Source organism: Homo sapiens, chromosome 4 (genome assembly GCF_000001405.40).
Source record: "Homo sapiens chromosome 4, GRCh38.p14 Primary Assembly".
NCBI lineage: Eukaryota > Metazoa > Chordata > Mammalia > Primates > Hominidae > Homo > Homo sapiens.
Window position 1 is genome coordinate 26,212,570 of NC_000004.12, and position 27,251 is coordinate 26,239,820.

A 27,251-nucleotide genomic window follows, 5' to 3' on the forward strand; every position below is an offset into this window, starting at 1 on the left:
TTTTCTCCCCAAGGCAGGACTTTAATCTTTCCCTGCCTTTCTGCCTTGGAGCTGGCTATAAAGAAATTCTCTGACCTACCTTGTCTGATTGTGGTCAGAAGACCTTCATTTCAGAAGGGGTCTTGCCCCATACGCAGCAGAAAGGAATGTTACACAGAGAGGCCAAGCAGAATCTAAACAGACAGGCTTTGCTGGGTTCCTCACTTGGTCTTTCAGTATGAGATCATACCTTTTTTGTCCAGTCACATTTCTACATCAGTGTCCATCCTTCATGTCCACTCAGTGAAGTTTCCATAAAAGGCCCAAGAGGACAGGGTATGGGAGCTTCTGGACAGCTGAAGTCCTGGAGGCTGCAGGAAGATGAACAAGAACTCATCCCCATACCAGGAGCGGGACACATCTCAACTCCACAGGAATGGAAGCTCCTGCACTCAGGACCTTCCAGACCACGTACTATGTGTCTCCTCTTCGAGCTGCTTATATCCTTTAAAATGTCCTTTATAATAAACTAGTAAATATAAGTGTTTCCTTGAGTTCTGTGAACTACTCTCACAAATTAATCAAGCCTAAAGGAGAGGTCATGAGAACCCCAACTTGAAGTCAGTAGGTCAGAAGTTCCAGAGGTCCTGAAATGACAGGACACCTCTATCCCAGGTGGCTAGCATCAGAATTGAATTGAACTGGGGAACAACCAACTGGTGTCTGCTGCAGAATTGATTGCTTGCTTGCTGGTGGGAAGAAAATCCCCCAAATTTCACACCAAAGTCCTCTGTGTTCATTGTTATAATTCAAGGGCAGAGAAAAAAACTGTTGTTTGGGTTTTTTTTCCTCTAAGAATAAGCCTGGCTTAGGAAAATGAGAAGGGGTCAGGTATTTGAAAGTCATAAAAGAGCATTCCTAACAGAGGACACAGTAGATGCAAATGCCCTGAGGCAGCAGTGAGATGAGAAGATTAGAAGAACAGCAGATGGTAAGTGAGGCTGCACACAGGAGTCATGGGAGAGAGTGACTGCCCATGAGAATGGAAAGGTAGGCGGGGGCTAGATCCAGCATGGCCCAGGAGGCCATGGAAATGGGTTTGGATTTGCTTCTAACTGCAATGAAAAGCCACTAAAGGATTTCACACAGGAGACTGCCAAGATCAGATTTATTCCTGGAAAGGTGACTCTGGCTGTTGGATGGAGACTAGGTTGTAAGAGAACAGCTGTGACTTTATGGGGAGAGGCCATTGTAGAAGTCCAGGAGGGAGATGATGGCAGCTTGAACTTCAGTGGATGCTTGGAGCTGGAGAGAGGCAGACCACCCCAAAATGTGTTCTGAAAATAGATTCGACAGGATTTGCTGATAAGGGTGATGGCAAAGGGGAAAATAAGGGTGTGGCTCAAGTCAAGTCTTGGGTTTGCACAATGGAGTGGATGGAGGTATCACTTAGCAACATGGAAGAACTGAAGAAACCTGTAATCCCAGCATTCTGGGAAGCCGAGGTGGGAGGATCACTTAAGCTCAGGAGCTCAAGACCAGCCTGGGCAACATAGAGAGACCTCATTGCTAGGAAGGATGGATGGAAGGAAGGAAGGGAGGGAGAAAGAGAGAAAAGAGAGAGAGAGAGAAAAGAAAGAAAGAAAAGGAAGGAAGGAGAGAAAGAAAGCAAAGGAAGGAGAGAAAGAAAGAGAAAAGGGAGAAAAGAGAGACGAAAGAAAGAAAGAGAAAGGAGGAAGGAAAGGAAGGAAGCAAGGAGACAGAGAAGGAGGGAGGGAGGGAAGAGAAAGAAAGAAAAGGAAGAGAAAGGAGGAAGGAAGGAAGGAGAGAGAAAGAAGGGGAGGGAGGGAGGGAAGAGAGAGAGAAAGAAAGAAAGAGAAAAAGAGAGAGAAAGAGAAAGAAAAAGAAAGAATGAAAGAGAAGAAAGAGAAACAAGGAGGGAAGGAGGGAGGGAGGGAAGGAGGAAGGGAGGGAGGGAAGGAGGAAGGGAGGGAGGGAGGGAGGGAAAAGAGAGAGAAAAGAGAAAAAGAAAGAAAGGAAGGAAGGGAGGAAACAGAGAGAGAATGAAAAAGAAAAAAGAGAAAGAAAAAGAAAAAAGAAAGAGAAAAAGGAAGGAAGAAACAAGGGAGGGAGGAGAGAGGGAGGAAGGATGGAAGGAAGGAAGGAGAGAGAGAGAAAGAAAGAGGGAAGAGAGAGAGAAAGAGAAAAAGAGAGAAAAAAGAGAAAGAAAGAAAGAAAAAGAGAAGGAAGGAAGGGAAAAGAGAGAGAGAGAAAAGAGAAAGAAAGGAAGGAAGGGAGGGAGGGAGAGAGGAAAGAGAAAATGAAAAAGAAAAAGAGAGAGAAAAAAGAGAAAAAGAAAGAAAAAAGAGAAAAAAGGAAGGAAGGAGGGAGGGAGGAAGGACGGAAGGAAGGAGGGAGGGAGGGAGGGAAGGAAGGAGGGAGGGAGGGAGGGAAGGAAGGAAGGAGAGAAAGAAAGAAAGAAAAGAAAGAGGGAGGGAGGGAAGAGAGAGAGAAAGAAAGAGAAAAAGAGAGAAAAAAGACAGAAAGAGAAAGAAAGAAAAAGAAAGAAAGGAAAGAGAAACAAGGAAGGAAGGATGGAGGGAGGGAGAGAAGGAGGATAGGGAAGGAGGAAGGAAGGAAGGAAGGAAAAAGAGAGAGAAAGAAAGAGAAAAAGAGAGAAAAGAGAGAAAGAAAGAAAGTAAGAAAGAAAGGAAGGGAGGGAGGAAAAAGAGAGAGAAAGAAAGAGAAAAAGAGAGAGAAAAGAGAAAGAAAGAAAGAAAAAGAGAGAGAGAAAGAAAGAAAAAAAGAAGGAAGGAAGGAAGGAAGAAGGGAGGGAGGGAGAGAGGAAGGAAGGGGGGGGAAGGAAGGAAGGGAGGGAGGGAAGGGGACGACTACATCAAAGAGGGACAAAAACAACTGGAAAAGGAACAAATTTCAGGGAGAAAATCAACTCATATAAAGTTTGAAGGACTCTTACAGATGCTAAGCTATATTTGCTAAACGACTGAAATGTGCTTTTTAAATTCACAACTACCTATCTAGAAGTGAACGATTTTGCCGCAAGAATATTTCTGAGATTTCACAACACGTCCTGAGATAATAGGAGAAACACTGGAGTGTCACGAAAACAGGGTGGCAGATCACACACTCTCACGCTAGGGACCCTCCTCAAAGCAGAGAGCGACACCCATAAATTGGAGGTGCCTCTAGAAATGGCTAACCTTCAGCACCTCTCAGTTCATCTCCCCACTCCCGCCTCCCGCATCCCTCTCACCTCCTTGCCAGTCTCTGGATTGAATTTGTTCAGTGCCGGGCAGCACATTGGGGGTGAGGGGCATGGCACTGCATTGGCTTTCTAGGGCTGATGTAACAAATTATCACCAGCTGAGTGGCTTAAAACAACAGAAATTTACTCTGTCAGAGTTCTGGAGACCAGAAGTCTGAAATCACGGTGTCATCAGGGCCACCCTCCCTATCGCCAAAGACCCCGGGGGAAATTCAGTTCCTTGCCTCTTAGCTTCTAGTGGCTCCATGTGCTTTTTGGCTCATGGCTGCAAGGCTTTAATCTCTGCAGCCACCATCACATGGCCTTCTGCTCTGTGTCTCAAATCTCCCTCTGCCTTTCTCTTGGTTTTAAGGCTCACCTGGATAATCTAAGATGACTTTATCAGGATATCTTTAAGTTAATTACTCCTGCAAAGACTCTTTTTGCAAATAAGGTCACATTCCCAGGGACTAGAAGAACATATCATTTGGGAAGGGGGCCACCATTCCACCCACTACAAGTAATGAATGAGAGATTTGCTCCCTCTTCTCATGGAATAGTAACTGAGACCCAAAGGGTAAATGTGAATAAGCACAGTGAAGGACAGAGGGAAAGCTTCCAGAGATGCTGGCAGGTTTGAAAACCTTGAAGAGAAAGCATGGAACATCCGAGGATTTCCACCAAGCTAGAAATGGGGCAAGGTGAAGCCAGAGGGGTGGGGTTGGGCCAGGTCACTGAGGGCTTCCTAAGCTCTGGGGTGATGTTTGGACTTGGAGACAGTGGGGAGCTCCTAGAGGGTTTTAAATAGGGGAGGATTGAGGGCGAGCATAGTGGCTCATGCTTGTAATCCCAGCATTTTGGGAGGCTGAGGCTGAGGTCTGGGTGGATCACTTAAGCCTGGGAGTTTGCGAGCAACCTAGGCAACATGGCAAAACCCCATCTCTACAAAATAAATACAAAAATTAGCTGGGTGTGGTGGTGCACACCTGCAGTCCCGGCTACTTGGCAGGCTGAGGTGAGAGAATTGCCTGAGCCCAGGAAGTTGAGGCTACAGTGAGCCATGACTGCACCACTGCACTCCAGCCTGGGCAACAGAGTAAGACACTGTCTTAGTCAATCAGTCAAGGAGGATCATGACCAGGTGTGTCTTTGAAAAAAATTACACATGTGCTTTGTGGAGAATGGATGTGAAAGGGGAAAACTGAGGGTAGACAAGTCAGATAAGGTGCTCTTTGAGATTCTAGGCAAAACATGGAGGTGGTTTGGACTAGATGGCTGGCAGAGGTAGAGTGGAATGGGTAGGTCAGAACCACCAAATGTTACTGAACCTTGTCTCTCCCAACCAGAGATTTAATTACTCACATTGACAAAGGCAATATGTAAAGACCATGCCTTAATGTGGCCTGGTAAAACCATGTCAAAAGGGACTCAAACTTTATCAATTATTCTGAAAGGCTGCAAGATGATTTTTTAGGAGGATAAATGAAAGCTTATACTGATGGGTGCTGAACTCACCCTGAAAATGCCCCTTCCTTTTCCATTCAGCTGTGTGCTCCTGTGGCATTGAAGAGCAGCACCAGTGTCATGTGGAGGTTTTAATGGCCTCTGCTTGGAATATGTGGATGTGAGGTTGCTGCAAGTATTCTCATTCTGGTATTTTTATGGCCTGAGCTATTTTAGCCAGGAGGATGCAAGCAGACCCCGAAAGCCCAATTACGTTTCTAGAATCTGAATGCCCAGCAACTTGGAAGGTCATGAGAAGCAGCTACCCCAGGGTTCAGAACTGTGAAGCGGCCTCCTGATTTGAAGGTAGAACATTGCCTCTTGGCAGCGCTGTTTGCACTCAATATAAAACCCAAAGTGGGTGGAAATGCTGCCCAGTTGGAAAAAAACAACAAAAATGCAAACCGAGTATTTGGAATTTTTATCCAATTCCTTCCACTATGACAAAAAAACTTCTAAATTCCCTCCCAAGATCCAACCTGCTATGTAGCTGGGGCTGTCTTCAGAGTCAGACCTGGGTTTGGACAGTCCCTGCGAAACAGGTCTTTAGATCTCTGTAGCTCCTACAGGGCTTCGCAAGTGCCAGAGACATAGACGTGTTCAGTAAACACTCGTGGATAAGAAGCTCTGCGCTCAAAGGTTTTGGAAAGAGAGAGGAAAAACAAAACAGACCGGGGCATTTCCACCTTATTAAAATGCAGCAGGACCGTCTTGCTAGGAGCAATGTTGATTTTCCACGAGCCCCGCACAGGGAACAAGAAGATCCAAGTCCCACTTCACATTGTTTCTCATTGTGTGACCTTGAGCAAACCCAGGGCCACAGTTTTGTCTTTGTTCATGTGAGGATCTGGGTTGGGAGACCCTATGCGAAGGCAATCAGGGTGCCGTTATCCACCCAGCTGTCGCCGGTGGGTACGTGCAAACACAGACTCTCTGTTGTTGATGGGGAAATAATCAGAGACAGATTCTCAGTGATGTAACCAAGAGAACCGAGCAGATGACTATAAAGACAGAAGTGAAAGTCCATTCCAGAACCGTGGCCGCCTGAGGAAACTCCCCAGGAGACACCCTGATGGGCACTGAGGAGCAAAATGCATGGTCCTGCTCACATCCCATCCCCTCTACCCCCCGAAGGGTACCTAATCCCCAAAGCACTAAAGTGTGAACATTCCTACCAGGACGTACTCATGGGTCAGACAGGGTCACAGCTCTGGAGCCTGCCATTCTACTGGTTCCTAGTTGGTCCTCTTGCCACACTGTTGTTATTACTGTTGTGGCTGTGGCTGTCGCTGTTGCTGTCTGTGCCAGGCGTGCAAATCCCCAAGGGCTGGGCCTTTCTTTTCTCCTGCCATACCCCCTCGGCCTCGCCACTGTGGTCCCCAGCCTGGTCTCTGCACACAGCAGGCATTCAATAACCACTCGCTGTTTAACCCTCATCATGGCAGGAAAATAAGCCGTGGCTGGGTGCTCAGAGCCTGGAATAGCATGTATGGGGGTGGGGCAGGGAGGGCACAGAGCCACGTGGAGCCAGGGCCCTAACGAGAAACAGGCCTCAGCACTGAGGAGAAATTGATTACCCTGCCTCTCAGTACCAGGCCTTCTCTCCAGAGCTCCTGCAAGAGACACAGACCTAGGGTGGAGGCCCCAGCCTGAGCCTCTTCAGGGCTATCCAGCCCCTAGTCCCCAGCATGGAAGCTAATGAGTGTATTTATAACCCACCTTGTCCCAAAAAGAATTACAAGCATTTTTCAAAAAGGGAAGCAATACCGTAAGAGGAAGTAAATTTAGAAGAAAAAAAATGAGTCAAAGGGAAATAAGGGCAGGATTGTTTTATGGTGGAAATTCAGGTTTGGGGTCAGATGGAGGGAGAACCAGTTCTGGACCCTTCGTTATGTCACCAGAGGAAGCTCTGCCCACCAGCCTACCAGCCACGAGTCTTATTGGGGGTGGCAAGGTTACCTGGGGATGATGATGTTTGTTGTTTTCTTAACCTCAAGCATGGTGATTGTGACAAGGATCAGGGCGGAATACTTGGAAAACATGGATCAGGACAGAAATACTTTGTGAATCAAGGAAAATATGTTGGTGCTATCTCCTGTCACTGAGGAATGGGATGGTTAAGCCTCCAGGCACTGGGGTAGAGGGATAAGAGTTCAAGTTCCAGTTCTGTAGCTGACTAGCTGCTTCTAACCTTCATTATTTAACTTCTCTAAGCTTCAGCTATACAAGAACTGAGTCGAGCATCCGAAGTCCCTATGAATAAAAAGTGAACGTGAACTCTTTGTGTAGCAAAGGCTGTCATAAGCATTTCCATATCTGAACCCCTTTAATACTGTTAAAAACCCCTGAGGTAGGTGGGTGCTGATATCATCCATATTTTGCAGACAAAGAAACAGGTTAAAATGACTAAATCCAAGTCACATTAACTGGTATATGGCAGAGTCAGGTTTTTTTTGTTGTTGTTGTTGTTTTTTTTTGAGACGGAGTCTCACTCTGTCACGCAGGCTGGAGTGCAGTGGCACAATCTCGGCTCACTGCAAGCTCCACCTGCCGGGTTCATGCCATTCTCCTGCCTCAGCCTCCCAAGTAGCTGGGACCACAGGCACCCACCACCACGCCCAACTAATTTTTTTTTTTTTTGTATTTTTAGTAGAGACGGGGTTTCACTATGTTAGCCAGGATGGTCTCTATCTGGTGACCTCGTGATCAGCCCGCCTTGGCCTCCCGAAGTGCTGGGATTACAGGCGTGAGCCACCCTGCCCAGCCAGAGCCAGGGTTTAAAGCAAGGGACTCTTCTTCAGAGTTTGTGCTCTGAGCCACTACTTTACACTATGTACATGCTCAGTAAATGATAGCTACTACTATAATAGGCAGGGCTAGTTAATATGCAGATGAGCTGTAGTAATATTTAGTTGACTACCTGGAGCATAGAAATTTATATTGTACCTGCAAAGATGTATGTGTGCATTTTGAACTTGGATAGTTTCTGCCTGATTGCACCTCAAAAAGCTATTGCAATAGTCATTCTCCCTAGCAATGTCTGAGACCTAGGTTTCAAAGGCACCAAAATGTATCTTATACTGCAACATAAAATTTGTTTAATTTACCAAATACCTACTGGGCTCCTACAATGGGCCAGGCATCATTGTAGGCACTTGGGGTATATTAGTGAACAAAAAGGACAAAAATCCATGCCCGGACAGAGTTTATATGTTTGGTGGGTTTCGGTTACTTTGTTGCAAAACAGGTCTTGAACTCCGGTCACAGCATCGCTTGCCTCTCCCTGGGTCCCACTCATAAAGAATTTAGAACTGAAGGATTCAGACTGAACAATCATTCCCTGAGCTCTGAAGGGCTAAGTGTCCATTATGTCACAGAGCCTCCAAGCTCTTCTCATAGGAATACTGCTAGTATAATCATCCCTATCTCCACAGATGAGGAACCAGAGGCTCGAAGAGTTAAGGTGTTTGTTCCAGATGACCCACCCAGGGCTAAGGGACAGAGCCAGGAGCTGCGCTCCCCTGGCCTGAGGTCCAGGATTTATTTCACTGCACCGCAGTGGTGAGATCACTATGAGGAAATTCATCTGGGGCCCAAACACATATTTTGGCCCTTAATCCTATAGCATCTACTGATTGCATCATCCATTTGGAACTCAGAATATGTTTGCCCTGATTCTTATTTTTGTGTGTATACGTACTCATTAATGTATAACTAGGACAAATATTATTAAAATATTAATATCCACAATCTTCCCCTTCTTCTTAAATAGTTTTTTGTTTTGTTTTGTTTGAGACGGAGTCTCGTTCCGTCGCCCAGGCTGGAGTGCGGTGGCGCGATCTCGGCTCACTGCAACCTCCGCCTCCTGGGTTCACGCCATTCTCCTGCCTCAGCCTCCCAAGTAGCTGGGACTACAGGCGCCCGCCACCACGCCCGGCTAATTTTTTGTATTTTTAGTAGAGACGGGGTTTCACCGTGTTAGCCAGGATGGTCTCCATCTCCTGACCTCGTGATCCACCCGCCTCCGCCTCTCAAAGTGCTGGGATTACAGGCAGGAGCCACCGTGCCCGGCCTTAAATAGATCTTAAAGGGGAAGAATTCTAGTTTGCTGGGTCCATTTCTAGACTACTGTTTGTTCAGGGGAATCCTGTTAAGGGACCAACAGAGATAACTCAAGAGTGCAGAAAGGCTATAATGATCTTTGGAATATGATCTTCAGAATAAAGACCAGCATAGGTATAGAATGAGAGAGACGGCGAGACCCTTGGGCTAGATGTCTGGACAGAATGTTGAGATTTGAAAAGTGAGAGTAGGAGAGAAAGAGAGCATTTTGGAAGAAACAATACTTACAAAGAGTAGAATACTAAAAAGAGCACCCAGTTGGTTCTCAGTGTTTGCTGATTGAGTAGACGAGTATGTTCAATAGATCGGTAGGATGACCATAGTTAACAATAATCCGTTGTACATTTCAAAATAGCTAGACGAGAATAATTCAAATGTTCCTCGCATAAAGATAAATACTTAAGGCTGGGTGCGGTGACTCATGCCAGTGCAATGCTGTGTCCCCACTCCCAATGTGCGGCCCAGCGCTGAACGAATTCAATCCAGAGACTGGCAGGGCGGTGAGAGGGATGGGGGGAGGGCAGGAGTGAGGAGACGAACTGAGAGGTGCTAATGGGTAGCAATTTCTAGAGACACCTCCGGTTTATGGGTGTCACTCTCCACTTTGACGAGGGGCCCTAGAGTGTGTGATCTGCAACCTTGTTTTGATGACACTCCAGTGTGTCTCCTATCTCCTATCTCAGGACATGTTGTAAAATCTCAGAAATGTTCTTGCCTTGCAGCAAAATCGTTCACTTCTAGATAGGTAGTTGGGTATTTAAAAGCACATTTCAGGCCGGGCACGGTGGCTCATGCCTGTAATCCCAGCACTCTGGGAGGCCGAGGCATGTGGATCACCTGAGGTCAGGAGTTCGAGACCAGCCTGGCCAACATGGTGAAAATCCGTCTGTACTAAAAATACAAAAAATTAGTTGGGCGTGGTGGCGGCCGCCTATAATCCCAGCTACTCAGGAGGCTGAGGCAGGAGAATGGCTTGAACCTGGGAGGTGGAGGTTGAAGTGAGCCAAGATGGCGCCACTGCACTCTAGCTTGGGCGACAGAGTGAAACTCAATCTCAAAAAAAAAAAAAAAAAAAAGATAAATATTTAAGGTGATGAGTTTTCCAGTTATCCTGATTTGATTTTTATACATTATATAAATGTATCAAATTATCATATGTACCCTGAAAATATATATACCTATTATGTACTCTGAAATATATATATATATATATATATATACCTATTATGTATCAACAAAAGGAAAGAAAGAAAAAGAACAGATGAACAAACAAGTGAATGAATAAATGAATGGATGAATGTAAAGCTGCCATCATTATGGAGGCTACAAAAGGGGCAGAGGAAAGGAGGAGCATTTGTAAGCGGTTTTACAGTGCATAAAACATATAATCCTTTGATGTTTCCTCAATAGATTGAGTAAGAATTATACTTTAATTGGCCAGGCGTGGTGGCTCAAGCCTGTAATTCCAGCACTTTGGGAGGCCGAGGCGGGCGGATCACGAGGTCAGAAGTTCAAGACCAGCCTGACCAACGTAGTGAAACCCCGTCTCTACTAAAAATACAAAAAATTAGCTGGGTGTGGTGGTGTGCACCTGTAATCCCAGCTACTCAGGAGGCTGAGGCAGGAGAATCGTGTGAACCCGGGAGGCAGAGGTTGCAGTGAGCCAAGATTGCGCCATCGCACTCCAGCCTGGGCAACAGTGCGAGACACTGTCTCAAAAAAAAAAAAAAAAAGAATTATACTTTAATTAATGTTTGATGGTGGATGTGCTGCTTTGAGGAGCACTCTTTGAGACTGGAATGAGGCTCACTGGCTTTATGTGGGTTGTGCACTGAGGGACACTCATGTGATAGGCACTCTCCCTGACACTGAGGTGTATCACAGACACATGAACAGATAGGAATGTACATCCCACTTTATCAAGGACTACAACAGAAAAATGAATCATGCATATGGGTGCTCAGAGATGGGAACGACCAACTTTGCCTGAGGGCTCAGGGAAAATCTGCCTGAAGGAGGTTATGCCTGAGAGCGGTCTTGAAAAGTAAAAAGTAGAAGTTTTCCAACTAAACAGAGGAAAGACATTCCAAAAAGAAGATGTCCTAATACAGCAAGCCAGAAGCAGAGAAGAGTGAAGATTCAGAGAGGCTGGAGTGAGCTAAGAGAGGAGCCAGTGCTGGAAGATAGCTGGGCTGGCTGACCAAGGGCTTTGTGCTCTCAGCTGAGGATTTAGGTTGGCCCTATAGGAGGCATAGTCAGTAGAAGTCTTCAAAGAGGTGAGTGACAGAAGCACAGTCTTTCTTAGAGAGATAGACAGAGTGGCAGTCAGAGGATAGACCAAGGCCAGGAGAGAGTCCGGGCTGAGAAACTGTGATCTTCCACAGGGTTTAGTCCAGTGCTTTGCACAGAAAGGATCATCACATTATCATAATAAGATGATTGCCCAAGTTGGAATCCATGCTCTATAATTACGGAACTCTATGACCTTGGCAAATTACTTGATTTCTCTGTGCTTAATTTTCTAAATGGGAATAATTGTCTCCACCTAATTGAGTTGTTGTGAGAACACAAGATTAATAGCTAAGATAATAGAGAGAGTTTAGAAGAGTGCCTGCCACTCTCAATAAATGTTAATGATTGATATTATTAGTATTGATATTGGTTAATTGTCTTGAATTGATCTCCATTTTTTTCTGACACAGAACATCTATCTTGGACACCAATCACCATCATCCCCTCCCCTTCCCCCTGTACTCCCATTTACTCCCATTGTGCATTCTGTTCCGTAAGAACACAAGATTCTTTTTTTGAGATGGAGTCTTGCTCTGTCACCCAGGCTGGAGTGCAGTGGCACAATCTCGGCTCACTGCAACCTCTGCCTCCCAGGTTCAAGCTATTCTCCTGCCTCAGCCTCCTGAGTAGCTGGAACTACAGGTATGCACCACCATGCCAAACTAATTTTTTGTATTGTATTTTTAGTAGAGACAGGTATCGGGGGAACCAGCTCCCAATATTTCAACGTAGGTTCTTTTCTATTTTCCCTAAGTGTCGGCTGGTCTGAGAAATACAGAGAAAGAGTACAAAAGAGAGGAACTTCCCGCAACAGACAGGGTTTCACCATGTTGGCCAGGCTGGTCTCGAACTCCTGACCTCAAGAGATCCACCCACCTAGGCCTCCCAAAGTGCTCGGATTATGGGCATGAGCCACCGCACCCTGCCCAGAACAGAACATTCTTGATGGCAGAATCCAAGTAACATGAGCTTCTACTGAAGCATGGTGTTAGCATGCAGTAGTTGCTTAATACATGTTTGCTAAATGTATGCCAGTCAGGGCAGCGAAAACAACGCTCAGTAAATTGACAAACAGTTTTCCAGAAGCAGTCACAAGATACTGGCTTTAGAAGCCTGGCTATAGCTCCAAATGGAACTTCATCCTCAAAGGAATTCCTGTCCCATCTGGTCTAGCTCTACTCACCCAGCCCCAAAGAGAGCTCTAAAAATGTTAGAGACAAAACAAAGACTAAGGAAGGAAAGACGTGGTATACATGAAACAGTGAAAACTGAAAAGAACCAGGGAGGCATAGAGCAAAATCCAAATGACTGATGGCAGTGGACTTGTTGAACTTCATATATTAAGAAAAGATTTCCTGATATAAAATGTATAATATAAATGAAAACTTCAATACCTATCGGGAACCAAAATTTTAACAGAACCAGAGTTGGAGGTAGCTGGTATAAAGGAAAACAGAATTTAAGAGAACTCATTGCTTTGTGGTAGGAAAGCAGAGTGGGCTGTACTGATTAAGTCTTTACTTGGTAGGCAAATATAGGTTAACCTGTTTGTTAAAAAATCAAGGGCAATGAAAAGACATGAATAAAAAACTTAATTGCTTATAGTTAAGTGAAATAAGCTAGCCCGAAAAGGCTACATGCTGTGTGATTCCAACTACATGACCTTCTGGAAAAGGGAAAATAATGGAGACAGTAAAAATATCAGTGTTTGCCGGGGAAAGGGAGACGGATGAACAGGCAGAGCACAGAGGATTTTCAGGTGGTGCAGTTATTCTGTATGATACAGTAATGGTGGATATGTGACATTATGCATTTGTCAAAACCCATAGAATATACAACACAAAGAGCGAACCATGATGTAAACTATGGACTTTAGTTAATAATAATGCGTCAATATGGGCTCATCACTTGTAACAAATGTAACATATCAGTGCAAAATGTTAATAATAGGGGAAACTTGTAGGGTGGGGGAAATATATGGGAACTCTAGTTTCTGCTCAATTTTTCTGGAAAATTAATGCCATTGTAAAAAAAAAGATCTATTAATTTTAAAAATTCAAGGGCAAACACTAATAAAATAGAAGCAGGATATTTTCCACTGCCATGCTACTAAATAGGGGGAAAAAAAAGGAATAGGCCAGGCATGGTGGCTCATGCCTGTAATCCCAGCACTTTGGGACGCTGAGGTGGATAGATCGCCTGAGGTCAGGAGTTCAAGACCAGCCTTGCCAACATGCTGAAACCTTGTCTCTACTAAAAATACAAAAAATTAGCCAGGCATGATGGTGGTTGCCTGTAATCTCAGCTACTCGGGAGGCTGAAGCAGGAGAATTGCTTGAACCTGGGAGGTGGAGGTTGCAGTGAGCCAAGATCATGCAATTGCACTCCAGCCTGGGTGACAGAGCGAGACTCTGTCAAAAAAAAAAAAAAAAAGAAAGGAATAAAAATTTCTGACTGGGTATGGTGTTTTACGCCTGTAATCCCAACACTTTGGGAGGCCAAGGAGGGAAGATCATTTGAAGCCAGGAGTCTAAGACAAGCCTGGGTAACATAGCAAGACCCTGTCTCTACAAAAAAGAAAAAAAATTAATTAATTAGCCAGGTATGGTGCTTCCCACATATAGTCCCAGATAACTTGGGAAGCTGAAATGAGAGGATTGCTTGAGCCCAGGATTTCAAGGCTGCATTGAGCTGTGATTGTACTACTGCACTTGAGCCTGAGTGACAGAATGAGGACCTGTCTCAAGGAAAAAAATAAATCTGGATTCATGCAGTGAAAATTGGGGATGGGGAAGGAATTAGAGATGCTAACACCCAATTTCCTCAGTTCTAAAATGGGGAAATTAAGGCTCATCTGGCTTTGTGATGATCATCTACTCAAGTTGGGTTACACGGAATGTAATCTGATCCTTTCTAAGATCCAATAGGCATGTAACTCTCAAAATTGCCTTAAAAATGTGTTCACTTGCTTCTGTGTGTGGTTAACTCATTTATCTAGAATGTCAGAGGCACAGAGTGGTCTGGTTAATTTTATATTCTGTTAAAGTGAGGGTTACCATGGATACCACACATAACCAATCAATTTTCTCAGAATTAGAATGCATGCAATAAAACTGGTTTAATGAGAAGACTAGGCTGAACATCACTGAAATTTATTTGATGATGAGTCCTTGGTAATGGGGAAGGCACTTCAAAGACACAGAACTGCAAAGACACAAGGCCGGGAGAAGTGGATGAGTCTTTACTGATCATAAAATAAAGCCCTGTAAGTGGCTCTTTTGTATGACTCCCAGGATATTCACCTGTGCCTTGGTCATTTGTCTCTGTCTCAAGGAAGTGGAGGAGAGAATGTTTGCACAGCAACATTAGAAGGATACAAAACGCTTCACTGGAGTCGTCTGAGGGTTGGATCCAGCATGATTGGCAGCCATGTAATTTGATTTGAATCCTTTCCGGTATCCTTTGCCATTGCCAAGACTTGGGTAATTTCTTAACTAACAGAGAGTTCAAAACCTCAGACCTTTGGGCAGGTGGTTAAGTGGACTCTGGAGTGAGTAAAACCTGCTGTTTAGATCCCAGCTCTGCCTCATCCTGGCTGTGGCAACCCGGCTAGTTGCCCAACATCTATGTATAATAAATGGAAAATAATAATGGCTACTTCAAAGCGCAGTTGTAAGAAGCTAATAAGACAATGTAAAGAGCTTGGCACATGATAAGTGACAATAAGTATTAGCAATTATTATGATCCTTATTAGTACTCCACTAGTCTAGGGAAAAGGGCCCAAGATGGGACTCTATATGAAGATCTAAGTGAGGTTAAATTAAGACCCTCCACAGCCTGAGTGGAGATGAGTTTTGCAGAGTCTGAATGCATGCATTTATTCTTTTTCATTTGAAGTTGCTGCTGTTTCAGAACATCTGAGGCAGTAGGCCCAGGGTACATGACCATATATCCACCTCCTTTGGAGAACTCCCTCTCAGAATCTGCTGCTCTTGATGTAGAAATTCACCAGTGAAGAGCAGACTTTGCTTGAGTCGCGGAGCGTCCGAGTGCCGCTGACACATGTCAGATGTCAGCACGCTTGCTCCATGTCTCCCTGCCAGCCTAGTCCTTCTCCGGTTGAGTTTTTCACTCCTCATTCCCAAGTGTCCTGTGAATGCTCCTTAACATCCTTGGTTTCTGTGCTTTCTGAACTGCTGCCTGTCTCCAGGCTTCACGGGCAGTTCCTGCCTCTGTGCCAGCGTCACCGTGATGCGCAAGCCATTGGTCTAGGGCCCCTCAGGGACAGCTCAGGACCTCCCTGCTGCGGCAAGTCACTAGGAACACATGGCCTCAGCCCTGCGCCCCACCCATCCCTTAACCATTTCACCTTTCTTCTGGAAGGGAGGTCTGGACATTGTCTCACAGGTACTCTCATGAAAGCGAATCTGCCACAGGGGTTTATTTGTTCGAGCTTATTTGCTTTTCAGAGGCAATCTGGTTGTAATTTCAGCAGCAGACCTGGTTTGGCTACTTTATCCATTGCTCCCCATTTTGCCATTTTCTCTAGTTGCTGTTTTGCAGACTGTCCTTTTTGTGTTTGGGTTATTCCTTTTAAAATACAAACCCAAGCATGCTATTACATACATATGCACACTCACACTCACACCCACACATAGACACACAAGGCATGTATCCGGTCTTGATGTTATTGCTGCAATGTATCTGTCATTAATATGGTAGCCATGTTTTGTTCTGATAGCCATGATTTATACCACTCTCAGTTTCCCTTCCAATTCCGATTTCATTCTACATTTTTCAAGGTTCTTAATTCAAGCCTGTATTTCCTGATTTGCATCTCGTTTTCAGGTTTCTATAACATCTTCCAAAAAACAAGATAGGAAAAACACCACCCAAGAACACAACGTGTTACTAGTCAACAAAATTCTAGGTAAAACTGAAATGAAATTGGACATAATGCAAGGAATTCTCCCGTAGGGGATAATCTGGAGCTAGCTAGCAGTGGAAGCCATGAGTAATGGGTCTCTTCCCTCTTGCTGGATCTCTATAAATCGTTTGACTGGATGGATGGAGAACCATTCCCTTTTCATTCATACAGAACTTGGACCTGCAGAGCTTGGTACAGAAACTCTCTGTTACCTTTATGTTTTGAGTACGACATCTGAATGGCTCCTTGTTTCGGGCCTGACTTTTTTTCCCACCTCCATTTACTCAGCTCCACAGGGGGAATCAGCACTTAATAAAACAACTATTGGCTGATGGTGCAAGTCACAGGAGCCTTAGAGCTCTTCTTGGCTTTGTTTTTCTAAAAAGTACCCATGACTATAGCCAAGCAAATCATTATATACCCATGGCCTCCCTCAGGAGAAATTAAAACCCCAAGTTAGGCAACAGGATAGAGAATCAGGCAGGAAGCCTAAAGGAGATTTAATAAACACATTCCTCTCTTCTTTTTCCTTTTGGGTAGATTTTCCTAAATGTGGTGGAAAGTTCTACAGATGTTTGTGAAGGGCCAATCACCTTCTCAGTTGAGTTGAGAAGCAGTGAAGAAATAAAGATAGCTGAGGGAAACAGGAAGGATTCCTCTGGAGTGTATCAGTGTGTATGATCTATGGGGCTGAACCCTGGCACAACTCAGAAATGGGCAAAGATTTCCATAGCTGGTCTCCATTTTAGCATTTTCTTCCTCCTGTTGGTGGCCCCACAGCACCCTCTGGTCTGTGCTGCTCTGGACTTGGCTATTTCATGAAAGGCCATACCGTCCCCAGTGACCCCTCCCATCCAGAAGTACCTGCCCCTTTAATTTTTCCATTCTTACTCCATGCATAGAAGCGTTCCCCTCACTGAGAGGCAGAATAAAGTAATAGTGAAGTGCACAGGTTTCAGTGAGACCAGAGCTGGGTTTACATCCCATCTCTGCCACTTACTGGCTGTGTGTCATCTAAGCTTCAATTTCTCTCATGTATAAAGAGTGGATTAATAATAGTTCCAATGTTTATGGGTATTATTATAAGACGATAATAGTAGGATGAAAAAATATCAACAAGATAAAATAGGATAATAAATGGAAGGTACTGAGCCAGGTTTAGAACTCAGATGGTCTGACTATAGAGGCCACATGTTTGACAGCTGTGCTACAACACCTCCTATAAAATTGATTAAAAATTCAGTCATCGGCCAAGTGCAGTGGCTCACACCTGTAATCCTAGCACTTTGGGAGGCCAAGGCGGGAAAACGGCTTGAGCCCAGGGGTTGGAGACCAGCCTGGGCAACATGGCGAAACTCCACCTCTGCAAAAAAATACAAAAAATAGTTGAGCATGGTGGCGTGCACCTATAATCTCAGCTACTTGGGAGGTTGAGGTGGGAGGATCAAGGGAGCCCAGGAGGTCAAGGCTGTGGTGAGCCCAGATTGCATCACTGCACTCCAGCCTGGGCAATATAGTGAGACCCTATCTTAAAAAAAAAAAAAAAGTCATTATGACACATGTTCATAGCAGCACTATGTATAATAGCCAAAAATTGAAAACACCCAGGTTGACTGACCTTCCTACATGACTAGATACCATAATTCAGGCAAACTTCGGTTTTAACTTACACACTCATAAAAACAAACCAGTGCTAATAATAACGATAACATCTAACTCTTATGCAGTAGATACTGTAATATGCTAGGCATTGTTCCAAGTGCTTTACATATATTAACTGCTTTCATCTTCACCAAAACCCTTGCAGTTAGGTCCTATTTTAACCCCCATTTTATAGATGAGGACACAGGCATGAGGAGGTCAGTAACATGTTTATGGACACGTAGTGAATAAGTGGCAGAGCCAGGGTTGGACCTTGAAAGACTAACTCCAATGAGTCCCATTCTAACCACCAGCCTCTACTGCCCACACATAGTTGCTTGTGTTATATAGATTTCTTTGTTTCATTAAGTGATCTTTATTTCTGATGCGACCAATGGCATATTTTTATTTCCTTACAAATCAGTTCAGTTCAGTTCTCTTCTATTTTTTTTCAAATAACCATTAGCTTTCCACACTTTCGACCTAGCATCAAAATAGCCCACAAAATATATTTATAGCAAAATATAAATGACAAGCATAGCTTTAGGATTCTGATCCCTTGTCATGAAGTGTGATGAAGTATATCCACTGATATATTTTGACATTTTGAGTAAAGTACTCCAATTGACTGTCATTTTTAGCACGTCACCCAGAGATAATGGCAAGAATAAACCCCTCCCCCAGGCTCTCTGACAACATCAAACAAGGAAACGCATAAGCAGGCTCTATAAACATCAGCAAAAGTGATGGATTCTGAACATAAAAATGTGGAGGTAGAAGAAACAGCCATTTCTGCGATCTGACCTATTTACCAAGTCTGTTTATTCACCGAAGGAGCAATTTCAACATTTTAACTGTGTCTTACACTCAAAAGAGCCATAAAACCATAGGAGAAAGGCTAGAGCCTCAAGGAGCTGACAGGTTGATTACTTTAAATGGAATTAAACAATTGATTTAGCTGGGCGATTAGCTTGAACTGCTATCTGCATTTAAGGGAGCAGTTTTTTGACTGAGATGACTAATCAGTTCAACCCACTTGTAAATCTAGAACATATGATCCAAAAGGAGATGTACCTAATACTTTTTTTTTAACTTTTTACTTTTTTTAATTGCACTTTTTTTTTTTTTTTAGACAGAGTTTCACTCTCGTTGCCCAGGCTGGAGTGCAGTGGCAAGATCTCGGCTCACTGCAACCTCTGCCTCCCAGGTTCAAGCGATTCTCCTGCCTCAGCCTCCAGAGTAGCTGGGATTATAGGCACCCGCCACCATGCCCAGCTACTTTTTGTATTTTTAGTAGAGATGGGGTTTCACCATGTTGGCCAGGCTAGTCTCGAATGCCTGACCTCAAGTGATCTGCCCGTTTCGGCCTCCCAAAGTGTTGGGATTACAGGCATGAGCCACGGCGCCCAGCCTATTTTTTTGTATTTTTAGTAGAGATGGGGTTTCACCGTGTTAGCCAGGATGGTCTCGAACTCGTGACCTCAGGTGATCCACTCGCCTCAGCCTCCCAAAATGCTGGGATTATAAGCGTGAGCCACTGCGCCTGACCTTATGCTTTATTTTTTTTTAATTTTAATTTTTATTTATTTTTATTTATTTATTTATTTTTTTAGACAGAGTCTCACTCTGTCGCCCAGGCTGGAGTGCAGTGGTGCGATCTTGGCTCATTGCAACCTCCACCTCCCGAGTTCAAGCAATTCTTCTGCCTCAGCCTCCCAAGTATCTGGGACTACAGGCATGCATCACCATGCTCGGCCAATTTTTTTTTGTATTTTTAGTAGAGACGGGGTTTCACCATGTTGGTTAGGCTGGTCTCAAACTTCTGATCTCAAATGATCCAACCTCCTCAGCCTCCCAAAGTGCTGGGATTACAGGCATGAACCACCATGCCCAATCAGTTGCTTTATTTGTAAATGAAGACATTTTAATATCTTTTTATTTTCCAACTTATATATTTAAGTTCAGGGGCACATGTGCAGCATGTGCAGGTTTGTTACATAGGTAAACACGTGCCATGGTGATTTGCTGTACAGATCATCCCATCACCTGGGTATTAAGCCCAGCATTCATTAACTATTCTTCCTGATACTCTCCCTCCTCCCAGCCCTTAATTACTTTTTGTAGAGACAGGCTGGTCTCAAATTCCTGGCCTCAAGCAATCCACCTCGGCATCCCAAAGTCCTCCTAGGGTTACAGACATGAGCCGCTACACCCAGCCAATTAAGTTTAAAATTTCTGTTTTATTAGTTCCAATTTCTCTCCCATCTAAATGCACTTGGGAGTCTTAGTGGAGCAATCTGTAACAGAATGTTCTTAAGTGTAAGAACAAACACATCTCTTCTCTATAACAACAACAACGATAATAATAATCATTTACTGAGCACTTACTATGTGCTTTATCTCCATTATTAGAGAAAGATTTCAGAGTGGAGTTCAAGTATGTGGTCCCTGCAGCCAGTTCCACAGTTGTGTGGCTGGGAGCAAATGGCTTGGATCTCTCTGTGCTTCATTCCCTCATTTGTAAATCATGAAACCTGTGTCATAAGACTTATTACAATTAAATAAATCCCTATATGTAAAGAGAGTGCGGGGAACCTGCTATAATTTGACTATTGTAATTTATGTTCCTAAACACCATCTAAGTTTTGTAATATTATTTCTATGTTGCAGTTAAAAGAAGTAAAGTTCAAAAAGATAAATAATTGGACCAAAGTCTCACATGCAGAGAGAGCAGCTGCTTTTCCTTCTCCAGATGTACAAGTAGTGTTGTATGCACTGCAGAAACAGTAAACACAACCTCTTTTTTCTATAGCTGACATCCTGAAATGATTAAGATTTGGGATAGTTGGTACTTGATTGCACTTTTATTTCCCCAGAGGATAAATAAATCATTCATGAATACATTTGATAAGAGAATGTATGGAGCTATAAATTAAAATACTGGGGGGGAAAACTATAAATGATTATCTCCACATTATTCTAATATCCATTGTTAGAGGCATTTATACAACCCACAGGTGTCCACATACAAGCTCTTCTGTTTCACATTTTCTGTGTCTTATTACCTACCATCTGATTTGGTAACAGGTTTCCTTGCAAAAAGTTTCCTTCTTCACTTAGGGCTGAATTCAATTATCCTTCAGAAAATCATATACCCTGATTCCCCAGTCTCTTCAGTTTCGTTAAGATGTTGCCTTGTCTCCACTTCGTATGCGTCATGTTAGTTTATTACTCAGCTGCTGACACTACCTTCTCATTTTAGTTTTCTGTTTGATTTCTCCCAGTGTCGTTATTATTGGGATCCTTAGTACCTTCACCATTGTTATAACTCCTTTTCATTTTCAGTCTGTCTCTTCAAAATAAAATCAGAGCAAATAAAACAGGCACAGGCTATATGCCGTTATGCAAAGCACTGATATCAAACAAGATCAAGATCTCATTGATATAAAAACTGAGAATCCTTTTCAAAAGGAAATTGGAAAGCAGATCTGTGAAGTGTCTCTTTTTGCAAAAATCAAAGAGGAACAAGTGATTAGCCATGAATGGTTCTGTTCTTATGAATTCAAGACACCTTAATAGTAGGTGGCATAGAATATCATTAAGAATAACAGGATGTCTCTAGCTTAGGCAGGAAACCATTTTCAAAAAATGTCAGAGCTCATTGTACAAAAAAAAATTCATAATTGCAAAGAAGTAATGGTGGATTCTAGTTTGGGGTTTGGAGGTGAATAAACATAGCTTAGAAACTATAGGGGCTTCCTGTTTTGAATTTAGGAGAAGCCACGACTTTTGCAAATATTTTTAGATGTAATGTTTATGGAAGGCAAAGAATGTTAACCCAGAATGTTGGATAGTACAGCTAGATGTTGGTTTGTACATTCTAAGTCATTTAGAATATTGGACAGAGTACTGAACTACTACTGTACTTTTTCCTTCATTTCTTGCCTAAAAAGGGCAATAGTGAGAAAATGACTTTAACCAAAATATTCAACAAGCATTTATTAAGTCTGTGGTACAAATAGCATTCTGCAGAAAGCAGTCCTATTAGACCCAAAGGAAGCAGAAGATGAAATACACACGCCTGACAATTTAATAGGGGATGGAGAATAATAAACATATAAGCCTGAAAGAACCAGAGAATGATTCCGTAGTAATACTAAAATTTGTGGCATACTCTTCCCCCAGATAACCACAGGCTCATTTTCTTACCTTGTTCAAGTCTTTGCTCAAATGTTACCTTTTCAGTGAGAACTTCCCTGGCCACTCTCTATATAAATTGTACCAGTCTACTCCACAAACCCTGTCTCTGTCCCCCGTTCCTGTTTACTTTTCCTTATCACCTTGTAGTTAATTACATAATTTTGTTTTTCAACTATCTTATTTTCTTATTTATTTATTTATTTATTTATTTGAGATAGAGTCTCGCTCTGTCACCCAGGCTGGAGTGCAGTGGTGAGATCTAGGCTCACTGCAACCTCCTACTCCCTGGTTCAAGCGATTCTCCTGCCTCAGCCTCCTAAGTAGCTGGGATTACAGGCACATGCCACCACGCCCAGCTAATTTTTGTATTTTTAGTAGAGACGGGGTTTCACCATGTTGGCCAGGCTGGTTTCGAACTCCTGACCTCAAGTGATCGCCCACCTCGGCCTCCCAAAATGCTGGGATTACAGGTGTGAGCCACTGTGCCCGGCCTGTTTCTCAACTATCTTATAACTCCACCCTATCCACTGCTGAATAAAGCCTTCATAACAACAGGGGAATTGTGCATTTTGCTCATTACTAAATCCTTAGCAGGTGATAGAGTACCTGGCACATAGTAAGTGTTCAAAAAAAAACCTTGCTTAATCAAGTATCTAATATGTATGTCAGACTACTTATTAGTGCTGAAAAAATTCAAAATAAGTAACCTTTGGCAATGTTAATGAGAAAAAGTTTATTGGAAGAAGGGATGTGTGTGCTTTTCAAGCCAAAACAAATTGATTTGATCAAACATAATGATTACAACGTAGGTTTTGAGTTCTAGACCAAACTCTGCCTCTATTTAGCTATGTGACCTAAATAAGATGTGTAACTTTGTTTTTTTGTGGATCTCTGAAGGTATTTATACCTGGGCCAAGAACTTATGTCTTTACATGGATTAACATTTAAAAACAAAAACAAAAACACTTCTAACAGAATTACAACTTTTTTTTCTTAGCTTCTCCTGGCCAAAGCAGCTATTCTTGACCATGCTTTATACCATGATCATCTTTGGTGATGCAATTTAGGAATGACTGGCCTTAGGCAAATCAGTGAAAGAAAGTTCCCTCCCAATTGCAGTTACTGGGCCCCATTTCTGCCTTCTCCAGGCTCTCATGATGCCCTCTAGCTGTTCCAGAGCTCTCTGGGGCACCCAGCCAGGCTTGCCTGCTCCCAGTGTAAACCATACTCAGAAATTATGTTTTCCTGTCCTTTGCTCTCCAAGCAAAAAGCCTGCCTCTTCAGTCTCCTGCCAGTTAGGACTGGATCCTGATGAGCTAATTCCCTTTAGGGTGAGAATGACAGATTGTTGGCTAAGCTAACCTTCTGTTTTCCTCACCACCAAAGTGAAGCCCAATGCTAAAGAAGGAATTGGAAGGGAAGGGAACTTCCAAATATCCAGTGCCTAGAATCTGCCTGAACTTTCAATATATTCAATCATTTTATCCACAACCAGGTAGATGATATTTACTCTCTAAGGAGCTGAAGTTCATGAGAGGTAAAATATGGACAGGTTCCAAAACTTTCTGTATTATCACATCAGCACACTGAATAAATGAGCCCAGAAATAGAATTGTGGATACTATTGCAGACTTCTGGGGCAATATTTTGGGGATTGAGGAAAGAGGTCCTTTGTGGCATCCTGTATCAGCCACGTAAACTCTGGCTGTGACCTTGAGTGAGTAGGCCCTGTGACCTTCAATAAGCAATTTAACCTCTCTTATAGCTTCGATGTCCTCATCTGAAAAATGGGGAATACTAATAGTATCTGTAGTCATTATTTCCTGCTTGTAACAAGTCGCTCCACAAATTAGTGGCTTAAAACAATAGTCATCCCTATAGTTCAGGAATTCAGGAGTGCCTCAGGTTGGGTAGTTTTCATTCAGGGTCTCTCATGAAGTTGCAGTCAGATGTTAGCTGGGGTCTGCATTCATCTGAAAGCCTGACTGGGGCTGGTGGAACCACTTCCAAGGTGGGGCACTCACATTGGCTGACAAATTAGTTCCTTTCCACATGGGCTCTCCACAGTACTGCTTGAGTGTCTTGGCAAAATGGCAGCTGGCTTCATCCAGAGCAAGCAATTCAAGAGACCAAGATGGAAGCTCAATGACTTTATTCCTAACCTTGGAAATCTCACAGCATCACCTATGTGATAGTGTATTAGTCACACAAGACAGTCCCTAACTCAATGTGGATGGGACCACACAAGGGCCCTTTTGGAGATTTCTGCAACAGTATCTCTATTATCAGGAAGATTAAATGAAACAACCCATGTTAAGCCCCGTACATTGTAAACACTGACTAACCGGTAGCTATTATTACAATGGCCCTAAAGTGCTCAATGCCTGCCTATACTAAGGCTGGTGCTGATTCTGATGTCTACTCTGAGTTTGATTTTATTGGATTTTAACAACAGACTCCCTTGTGAAATGCTTGAGCCCACATTAGAACCCAGTAGGAAGAAGCCAGAAAGCCGTAGAGCTCAGGCAAAACAGCAGCAACAACAAACACCAGTTCAATGAACCCATGAAGCAAATGACATCTGGGTGCCGGGCTCCTGAGTACCAACAGCAGCTGGTTGGCCCTGGCAGACTCGATAGCTCTGGGAAGCACCTGGAGAACCTTATCACTACCTGATCACGAAGTCAGGAGATCAAGACCATCCTGGTCTCCTGAATAGCAACAGCAACAACAATTTCTCTATCTGTATTCTTATCTGTGTGTGCTGTCACTTAAGTATATAGTGCAATGTTTTTCAAATTTGTGTCCTGGGAAACACTACTGCAAAAAAAATATTAATAGATGGGTCTCAAAAAAAAAAATCATTATGGTCGAATAAATTTGAAAAGGCTGCCTATTAAATCCTTTCTCGAAGCCTCACAGTGCATATTTTGCACGGTGTTAAAGACTCTAGGAAGTCCTAGGATTAAATAATAAGAAAAATTAGAAGGAAAATGTTTGTTTAGTTGGATTTGACTCAACATTTCCATCATCTTGCAAACTTGTCAGTGCAAACACACTATTTTTCCTTCCACTACAGGTATAAGCCTTCTATCTGGAAGATGCTTGTGATAAGTGAAGAAACAGGGTTTTAGGGGGTTGAATCCAGCATTGCCTACTTACTAGAGCCATGATCACGAGAAAATCACTTCAATTTTTTGACCCTCGGTCTCCCTATCAGTACAATTTGGACAATACACACTTAATTGGGCTGTTGAGAGAATTAAATAATAAAGATACCTAGCCTGGTGTTTGGATCCCAATAAGAGTTTGGACTTGCAGCTTGACACTTTGAGTTCCAATCCTAGCTCTATCATGAAGGAGCTATTTGAGTTTGTTTTGTTTTTTGTTTTGTTTTGAGATGAGGTCTCACTATGTTGACCAAGCTGATTTTGCACTCCTGGCCTCAAGTGATCCTCCCATCTCAGCCACCCAAAGTACTGGAATTAAATTACAGTTATGAGCCATCATGTCCGGCCATTAAAGAGCTATTTGATCCTGACCAAAAATTTTGTGTGTGTTTGTTTCATTTGTTTGTTTTGAGACAGGGTCTCACCCTGTTGCCCAGGCTGGAATACAGTGACACAATCACAGATCACTACAGCATCGACCTCCCAGCCTCAAGTAATCCTCCCATCTCAGCTTCCTGAGTAGCTGGGACCACAGGCGCGCACCACCGTGCCTGGCTAATGTTTTTATTTTTTGTAGAGACAGAGTTTTGTCATGTTGCCCAGGCTGGTCTTGAACTTCTGGGCTCAAGTGATCTGCCTGCCTCAGCCTCCCAAAGTGCTGGGATTACAGGCATGAGCCACCATGCTTGGCTCAACCAAGTTCTTAACTTCTTTGAGCCTCAGCTTTCTTGTCTGTAAAACAAGGAGAATCATTGTATTAATGTATCTCATAGCTTCTATGCAGGGATAAAATAGAAGGAAGTATGGAAAGTGTAGTAAACATGCTTGGCACACTACAAGAGTTTTATAGTTGTAGGGTATCATCATTACTGTTGTGGCCAAAGGTCACAGAGCTGGTAAGTGACAAAGTCAATAAATGAATCCCAGCCTGACTCAGTGTGTGTGCACCTTCCCCTCTGCTGTGACATAGAAACAATCAACAGAAATGAGATGCAGTCGTTTTGAGAGCAGCTTTGGGGAGAGGGTTGGGCCAGCAGTTGGAGACAAGTGGGTGGTCATAATTCCGGAGAGCTTCCCAGAAGTGGTGGGGTCGCGGGAGGATATCTAGAGACAAGGAGGCAGGTGGCTGGGCAGATGGGGATGGCAGGGTTTACACAGTCAGGACAGCCAGGACAACGGCTTGGAAGAGTGAGTGGCGGCGGCTGTAAGACGCCAGCTTTGTTGGAACAAAGCAGCAGGTGAGAGAGCCACAGAGATCAACGCTCCAGGCACCCAGGGAGAGCAGACGCAGAAGAAAACACTTGGCAGGAACAGGGCGGCACCATTTGCCTTTTTCAATCAATCAGACAACAATTGAGGGATGGCCTATGAAGCAAAGCCCTATTCCCCAACCCCCACACACACCACCAAAGCAACGACTGCTCAGATAATAGCCTAACTTCCAAGACCTGCTCCTCCCTCCTCAAGCCAGCCGGACCATGATCAGCCATATAGAAATTTATTTTTATTACTGAGCTCCTATTTCTGCTTTTGCCATCACCACAGATCAGTTCGGGTTTTGTATCCCAGCCAAGTGCTTTTCATATTTTCCAGATCACTCAAAAGTCTGTATCCGCTGCCTGGAGCAGGTTTAAGGAACAATCTGAGATTTCTTTCTGAATAAGCAGTTATTTGTACTTTGTTTTGCTTTTCTTGGTTACTGAAGAGAAACAGTGACATAAAGAAAGCACTGGTAACACTTTGCATTGAGCAGCACAAATGTCAATGGTAGTGACTCTGCAAATAAATAGTTACATTGTCAGGCGCACAAGAGTCTCATTGAGGAAATCTGTGCTGTGACTGCTAACAGGGTTAACACTTTAAGCACAATGTAATCAAGAAAAGGCTTGTAAACTTTGCTCCAAGTGACCTCTGCCTGTACTAAAAGCAAATGTCAACCAAGGATCCCAGGATACATTTTCAGAGCAGTCATGGTGTAGTTAATGCATCCTTTATAGTGCACTGGAGGGAAGGGAAGGAAAGTAACAGAGAAGAGAAGAAAAAAAGGAGAAGAGAAGAGGGGAGGGGAGGGGAGGGGAGAGGAGAGGAGAGGAGAGACCTGGGTAGAGTTAAACTTTGTTTATGGGGAAATGGCAAAGTCCCCTTGTTTCA

General features: G+C 43.5%; 1 protein-coding gene and 1 long non-coding RNA gene across 3 annotated transcripts in view, besides 3 other annotated features; one reads left to right on the forward strand and one right to left on the reverse strand.

The window, feature by feature from the left end:
- The window catches only part of RBPJ (recombination signal binding protein for immunoglobulin kappa J region), a 329,683-nt gene that overhangs the window by 107,121 nt on the left and 195,311 nt on the right, over positions 1-27,251 (forward strand). The gene's annotated exons all lie outside the window — the stretch shown is intronic.
- The window catches only part of LOC124900690 (uncharacterized), a 77,297-nt gene that overhangs the window by 14,441 nt on the left and 35,605 nt on the right, over positions 1-27,251 (reverse strand). The window contains exon 2 of the long non-coding RNA XR_007058094.1: positions 230-350. This is a non-coding gene — a long non-coding RNA (uncharacterized LOC124900690). The remainder of the gene's footprint in view (positions 1-229; positions 351-27,251) is intronic.
- Positions 5,601-5,660: an enhancer, noted in NCBI's record as "active region_21392". NCBI's record gives its function as "activates an Ori minimal core promoter by ATAC-STARR-seq in GM12878 lymphoblastoid cells {active_cell/tissue: GM12878}" and the evidence as "EXISTENCE:reporter gene assay evidence [ECO:0000049][PMID:35858748]".
- Positions 25,779-26,329: an enhancer, noted in NCBI's record as "NANOG-H3K27ac-H3K4me1 hESC enhancer chr4:26239970-26240520 (GRCh37/hg19 assembly coordinates)". NCBI's record gives its function as "activates a minimal SCP1, AML or CMV promoter by ChIP-STARR-seq in primed H9 embryonic stem cells {active_cell/tissue: H9 hESC(primed)}" and the evidence as "EXISTENCE:reporter gene assay evidence [ECO:0000049][PMID:30033119]".
- Positions 26,330-26,878: an enhancer, noted in NCBI's record as "NANOG-H3K27ac-H3K4me1 hESC enhancer chr4:26240521-26241069 (GRCh37/hg19 assembly coordinates)". NCBI's record gives its function as "activates a minimal SCP1, AML or CMV promoter by ChIP-STARR-seq in primed H9 embryonic stem cells {active_cell/tissue: H9 hESC(primed)}" and the evidence as "EXISTENCE:reporter gene assay evidence [ECO:0000049][PMID:30033119]".